Source organism: Homo sapiens, chromosome 3, assembly GCF_000001405.40.
Source record: "Homo sapiens chromosome 3, GRCh38.p14 Primary Assembly".
Lineage (NCBI taxonomy): Eukaryota > Metazoa > Chordata > Mammalia > Primates > Hominidae > Homo > Homo sapiens.
Genome location: NC_000003.12, coordinates 81215306 through 81223213, shown reverse-complemented (window position 1 = coordinate 81223213; position 7908 = coordinate 81215306). Strand labels below are relative to the sequence as shown.

Below are 7908 nucleotides of genomic sequence, written 5' to 3'. Positions count from 1 at the left end.
ATTCAAGCTGATTTGCCCTCCTCCAGTTTTCTCAGCTACCAGACACTTGAACTTGTATTCACATTTTTCTGCCAAGCTTCTGCTGACGGGCCTCTCTAGATACCATTCAGTAGGCTGACTGAAATATAACCTCACTCCAGGTCAAATGCCTTTAAGCTGAAAACCATTTCCAAGAAGAATGAAAATCTTAGATATTTCAAGTTTGTCTATGTGGCAGTGTTGAGATAAGAACAATGACAGTCTTGTGTTGTTGTTTTTTTTCCTTTTCTTTTTAGCTGTTCCGTAGCAGCTTGAGAGGATGAAGAGTTCAAATATACAGTAATTCTCATTGCTATAAATGCATGAAGCATAGAATGGAAAATAAGAATGGAACAGATTGAATAATCATTGTAATAGTAGATAGGTAAAATGTAATGATAAAAGGTTGAAGGTTCAAAGCATACTTAATATTTTATTTTAATAAAAAGAATGTAATTTGACTTGAAATTGAATCAATTTTGCAAATATAAACTCTCACTGATTTAGTAACTTTATGTATGCTATAGTTTTAAAAAATTATATCAATGGGTATGAACAAATCACACGAATTTATTCCTAGTGAATTTTCAGAAGACTTCCTACTACATGGTTTTCCCTTACCATATTGTCTCATAATTTCAACATTAGAGCCTCTGTTCTGTTCTAATCAGATGTGGTGATCAAAAAGTCTACCTAAAATTATACATATATGTGTACACACACACACACACACACACACGCACATTCATTTTATAGAGGAAAAGAGAAAGGAGTGGCCATCACTTTTCCCTTTATGTCCTATTTGATCTATTTGGCTAAAAAGCATAGAGACAGCTTCTTGCAAAATTACGCTGACATTTATACTGTATACAGAGAGATTTTTGAAACAGAAGACTCAGGCATTTTTACTATATAGAGATAATTTTTTAGGCTATAAGGGTCACTCAGGAAATTTTGCTAAGGGTAAAGAGAGAAGACATGGCCAGAGTGCAGGGTTGGAGTGAGATGACACATGCCCTCTTCCTGCATAGCTGAGGGAAATAACTAGGTTCAGAATCTGGGAGTTTGACAAAGATTTGAATAGAATCCTTATATAGCTGAGTGACTGGCAATCACCGGAGGCCAGTCAGGCAATGGCTGGGCTGGTTGACTTTGCTTCATAGGCGTCGTCTTGGTGCAGGTGATAAACAGGGAGGTGGGGGAAATGAAAGACTGTGAACATAAATGTGACCTATCTTGTAATTTTATTTTAGCTTTCTCTGTCTTTACAAAACCCCTTTCTGCGCTGTTAACACCCTGTTTTGCTTATTCTCTGTATTGACTTCTCAAAAGATCAAGTTTTTACAAATGTTAAGCGGTGGTAGCTTGTTTCAACTTTAAAGTCATGGATATTTTTGGTTCACAGGAAGGAAAAAGTGGCATACACAAATATGAGACCTAAAACATCTAGCTTAAATGGCATATTCATGAATTGAGACTCACAGTGTTAGTATGTGTACTTTAAAATCTAAGTTTAAGATATAACTATTTCATATATTAGAAGTAGTCAGGTATCACTCTCATTTTTAAGACATAAAAGTGTCTGTCTTAAAACATAGTATTAAATGAGTTACAACGGGGAGCCAAGTATTCTTTAAATTACTTTAAATTGGGGCTTTTTTTACTTTTGATTTCATTCATACACTGCATGCTATCTAATTTTATTAAGTAATTATTAAATAATTTGTATTTATTCCAGGTATCTTCTGGATATGACATTTATCCCCAGGGAAGACAAGAGCTAAGTTTTTTTCACTTTAAAATATCAAACATTTCACTTTATCTTTAGACTAAAGAATGCTGCCTGCCCTCAAGTTCTCTTATTCAGTAGGACAAACATTCTTCTCAATTCTCTTCCAAGATTTTGACTGTCTTTTTATGCTTCCTTATTTTGGAGTTTCTCTCACTCCACCAATTAAACTTCCTCTTATTCCTTCTGGTCAGCACTATGATCAGTCAACTCATTGATGAAAAAAATGGAGTGAATTAATGCATTTAAACATAGTTACAACATATTTTTGTGTGCGGTCTAATTCAGTTATAGGCTAAGATAGAGGGGCTAAAAATGTAGCACCTCAGACAAGCTAAAACTGTACTTTCTTCTCATCCATCTGGTAAGTACCAAGATTTCTTCTATTACATTACTGTGCTTCCTCTAGAGTGTTATAGTTCATCAAGACTGAGGCTGGGTCACCACTGTGCTAGCATTTTAACTTCCTAGAGAAGAAAATAAAAATAAAAAGGGAAAGGAATTCCCTTTTATGAAAATGATATGTGCAATCTCATATTCCTATGGAGAGAACTCAGTCACATGGCCACCCCTAGCCGCCAGGCAAGTTGGGAATTCTAGTCTTCTAGCTAGCTGGCTTGTGTCCCCCCTACAACCTGAAGGTGGCTTCTAACTCTAAAATGGAGAGGAGACTAGAAAGGGTCACAGCCTTAAATCTCAGCTTGGCCATGTCTGCACTACACCTTGATGCCTTCTTTCCTTCCAATCTTTTATGTCCCTTCTCCTCTGGTTGAGGCTATTTATGCATCTGGTTGAGGCTATTTATGCATTCATTGCACCTCTTTCAGAGGACATAGAGGTCGTGTGGCACTAGAGTGTAGTTGGATATTAAATGATTTTACTTTAAGCACTAAATTGAAGGTTATTTAATTTACAAAAATGTGCTTTACTCTAAATGTTTAAAGAATATATCTATGGCCTTAGGGAAGTATGCAGTGTGTGCTTAATTAACTTCCTAATTCACCAAATGGTTACCCTATACCTACTACATGAATAGAACTGAGTAGTTTAGACATACAAAGAATTGGAACACGAAGAAACTTTCCTCAAGTAATTTAATAACAACCTGTTGGTACCTAATAAAACCTTAGTAAACAGGGCAATGATACAAAAGCTGACACAGGACAGAAGAAATGTGGAGACCTTTTTTTGGTTGTTGTTATTGTGGCCAATGAATGCATATATTTAGTGAGAACCCCTTTCATCCTACATGTTTTTAAAAGATCCCTTTCTTGAATTAGAGTTTATATTCCATGTGGTTTATGAAATATCTCATTATAAATATATAATTATATTAGGAAATAAATATTAATATAAAGCTACCTTCTATTCCGAGCTGTTCATCTAAGTCATAAAACCCTGGTCGTTTGACTCCATTGACCATGAAAATGATGTAATTATAACATTTGTAATGTCATATATTCATTTCTTCTCTTCTTTAATGAGACAGAAAGAGTGGCTCTCAAAGTTTAATGCTCCTAATCATTTCAAGTTTGTTGAAAATATGTATTTAGAGGCTGTATGGAGAGATCTTTATTCTCTAGGTCTCATGTAAAGGCTTGAAACTGTCATTTTTCACAAGTACCTGTATTGATTATGTGGCTACTCTTCCTCTGACTTTAAAAACATTTGGATTAAAGAACACATTGAGAAGTTTATATGAATAGATACCATTATTGATAAGCTTTCTTTGTATAGTATAATTGTTTGGACATAAATCTCTTCCTTGTGAAATTGTTTCTGCCACTGTGATTGCCTCTTTCAAGAGAAGACAATTATTCTCATTTGCCATATTAAGGAAAAAATCAATGTATTTAAAATGTTTACCTCTGGATGAAAATAGAATCCCACACAAGAGGTATGACTGTAATGATTTCTTTACATATTTACCTATTTTTAATCAGAAAAATTTCAATAATGTGACATGTTTATTACTTAACAACATAGGTAGCATTAATTATATTCTTTCCTGATTATGCATTTACCTCATTGCTTTTGGATTACAGCTTATGCCTGAGGTTAAGAAAAACAGAAAGCAAGAAAGCAAGAAGTTAAAAAGAAAGAAACAAGGGAAAGAAGTAGAGAATATAGAGATAACGCAAGAAAAAATGACCTTGAAAAACAATAGTATTTAATCTGGAAAACTCATGTGAAAGTAGACTCCATAGTTGAGCTAGTTATGTAGAAATGATATATAAAACACCACTGATACTTTTAGCTTCCCCACCTACTCCATGGCACTCTCACTGTGATCTCTGGAAGACACCAATGTCCATTTTTTAAATTGATTATTGACTCAATTTGGAAAGATCTGATTTCATTGAAGGTACAATTGAAGTACTATTTCATGTTTTCTTAAGAAGTATAATTTTCCAAATTTAGAAGACTGTCTTCAGAAACACAGTCATTGTTCTTGCCTTTCAAAACCTGTCTCTGCATTTTGCCTAAGCACAATTGTTCTAATTTTAAACTTTAATTTCTTAGAGTAGACAATCATCTTACAACCATGAACACCAGGCTGATTTCTTGCCAACTCTTCCCATCTTTAACACTACCATCATTGATGTTTATTGATTTGAGGCTTCTGCCTCACAGTACTTAATTAATTTCAAACACAGCAGGATATTTGGGGATTTTATATTCAGGATCCCATTGATTTCTTGTCTTGCCAGTTTTAATCAGATTTGGGAAAGGGAAGATTATGTCAGGCTGTCTACTCATCTACTGCTTAAAAATGATATAAGCTCAATCATTAGAAAACACTTCATTTGAGTAATGTATCTAAGCCTTGAAGTGATCAATTATATACACTAGGCATTACCATAATACTATTTAGTTTAAACATCAGAACGAATGTGTGCTTTAATTAACAGATGTAGCATGTATCTCACATGACCATTTAAAAACAGAATATTTGTTTAAGTAGATAATGAAATCTTTATTTCATATTTCAATGTAATTCATATAGAACTATTTTTCTGTCAAACTCCCACATCAAAATGTCTACTACTAGACTGCAATCCGTGGAGCCTTGCAGGTTTGTGTGCTCAGTTTTAATGATAAACCAAATAGTCAAATACATCATTTCAAACTGTTCTCAAAAGGCAGCCTTTTGAAAGAATAGACCTGCAATTGCTGTTTTGTGGTACAACAGTGACAACCAGTGGCTGCTGCCTTTCACTTTAGGCTCACCCTTTATTGCAGACTTTATGAAGATGAACCTGTATCTGGCTTTAATAACCAACAGTCAGAAACATCTTGCTTCTTGTTCATCTTCATCTCATTTTTCTACTAAAATAGGTTGATATCTACAACCTATTTGGGAAATCTTTGTTTTGTTGACTAAATACACAAAATGTAGATTAAAATGGTTTTACCATGAAGTCACTGCACATGCTAACATAAAGGAGGTGATAAGGATTCTTGATGGTTTCACCCTCTGTGATACATGAATCAAATAACCTATTATTGCTTCTCTTACCTTAGAGGAAAGAAAACAAATCTGCTAGGTATATGTAAAAATCTATAAGTAAATAAATAAAAGAAGTGAAGGCACTCCATGGGCAGACAGTTGGGGATTGTATAATTATTTACGATGTGAACATCCCAGGTTGGTCTTGTCTTCCTTCCTAAAAGGTCCATTATTTTATTCAAATGGAAGCCTTAGTGGAGTGAAGATTTGCTAGATATAATAAGATGAATAATGTAAAGTTCAACTCTGGATTATAGACTTGTGGAGACTCCAAACATTTAAAGGTAATGGTTTGATTCTTGCATCTATTTCAAATTTCTTCAGAACAGGTCTATTTATAATTTATTGGAAGTCTTTCTGAGACACAGCAATCTGGAAATACCTTTTTTTATTCTATGTCTCTAACATCTATGACACTCCTACTCTGTCTCAAACTGTCTTTTTACTTTCTTTTTTTTTTCTCCTGAGTGCTGCTCCAGACCTTCATTTCCTCCTCCCTGGCACTGCTCTAAGAGTGCTTATGGCAAATTTGCTTCTGTAATCATAACTTGAACCCATCTGGGGATGAGATTGGCTACAAGCTTAGTATTTCCACTTAACATATTCATGATTAGCATGCACAGAAGGAGTAGAATTAGGATGAATGTTTTTGGAACAGTACAGATAAATCCTCATAAATGTAGTACAACAGCTCTGGAAACGCACAGTGCGGAAATGTAATGAAGCTGAACTCTGTAGAGAGTTTGGTATTCTCAGTACCATGCCTCTCCTAATGAACTCATTTAGATTAGAAAATGGATGTAACATTTTATTGGAATTAACCTGAGCCAGTAAAGAGGATTACACTTTCTTTCCATAAATATAGTGATATTACAGGGTGAGGTAGCATGTTACATGAATATTAAGCACTTTATGAACACTGTCATGAAGCCAAAAGGAGTAAGGTGATTATATTTTAACATAGTGGTACTGTTCTTATAATAATTAAATTTCAATAGTTGGAAAGGGATCTTTTTAAATGATTTAAATAAAAGTTTTTTGTGAATTTTCAGATTTAAAATGCCACGTGATTACAATTAAACTCAAGATAGAACATTTAAGTAACCAGCCTCAGCAGAAGTTATATTTTACCAAGTGGAAAATGAAAAACAAATAAACTTGGTGCAAAAAAGAAAACTAAGACTCTGAGTTTGACTAAAGAGAAGGATGATCTCCTCACTAATATGAAGAAAACTGTGTATTTACTTACCTCTGACTATTCCAGTGGATAAGACCGTCAAAGAATAGAATTTTGCTGCATTATTGGCTGGGTTCTTTTTCCTTTTTGTCATCTTTTTTTCAGTCCAAACTCACTCGTGTCCCTTTTGTATGATGAGTGGATGCTTTTCTCATTTTTCATATGAAATTCGTATAAGATTAAAATATGACCTATGAAGGAAGAAATTCATGAGTCATCATGTCATTTGATGATTCAAAGGACTGATGAATTATAGGCAAGAGAACTAACCTCACACTTTTGTAATCTTAAAAACAATAAACTGTAACATGAATCTGATCCATCCTTAAACAAAGGGCAAGCTCTGGCCCTGGAGTGCCATTTCTACCCATTTTGTAAAGTCAGCTACTGTGCATATGTGCACCCGAGCATTCACTGATGTTACAGGATAAGGCACAGTGAGTGCTGCGTGCTGGAAACTGAGGTTAGGTCTTGAGGCTGTGCAGAGATCTTCTGATTAAAGCTGAACATGCACTGTAAAGTTCAAGCATGTCCTCAGAGTTGGTTTAAGGAAAGCCTCTCACTTCTCCTCCATCCCACCTATGCTGGGAAAACTTTTTTTCCCCCCTTTATATGGGTGAAGGCATGTAAGGGGCTCCTTCCTCTCTGTGTGGTTTTTAGATTTCTCTCCATTCCATATATGCAAAGAGTTCCATGATGGATGTTCTTTTAAGTTTCTGTCACACGGGGGCTTTGAGTTAACGCTGTTAAACTGGAGCTAAAGGAAATCAGCTGCTTGCTGAGTATGGAAGCGGGATCGGGGTGGGGGGCATAAAAAAAAAAAACAGGCCCTAAATAGGAGATGCCAGCATCAGTGCTGAGCAGCTGGTGAAACTGTGGCAAGAAGGCTGTTCTCCCTAGCACAGGAAGATCTTCTAGAAGGAACTGCTGGAGTACTGATGAAGAAAAGCAAGCTGGGGAGCCCTCATGGAAACAAGACGAAAAGAAAACAGGAGAGAAATAGGGAAACAGGGCCAGTGAGGAGAAATTGCTAGAAGCTTGGAACCTGCTGGCATCACAAAGATCCATGATGAGGCCTTTAGTTCCACTTCATTTTCGTTTCTGTGCTTTTTCTTACTAATTGTGATCTTCCGGTTGCCTTTTTCATTTTCATGCCTATTATTTTGTTATCAAAAAGGTTAGGATACAGAGTACAAGATTTTTACCACATCTAGCCAAAATATGCATTTCTCATGCTCAGGACCTGAACAGGTTTAGGGCAAATGGGGGTGGGATGGGAAATTATTAGCAATGTTACTGAAATAATCAAAGTGAGGCACCCAGAAAATCTTTAACTTTTTATGTTTTCTACAA

At 35.3% G+C, this 7908-nt stretch overlaps 1 annotated feature.

Annotated features, from left to right (window-relative positions):
- Nucleotides 6285-7484: an enhancer, noted in NCBI's record as "MED14-independent group 3 enhancer chr3:81264881-81266080 (GRCh37/hg19 assembly coordinates)". NCBI's record gives its function as "activates an origin of replication core promoter dependent on BRD2, BRD4, P300/CBP and CDK7 cofactors, and independent of MED14, by STARR-seq in HCT116 cells {active_cell/tissue: HCT116}" and the evidence as "EXISTENCE:reporter gene assay evidence [ECO:0000049][PMID:35650434]".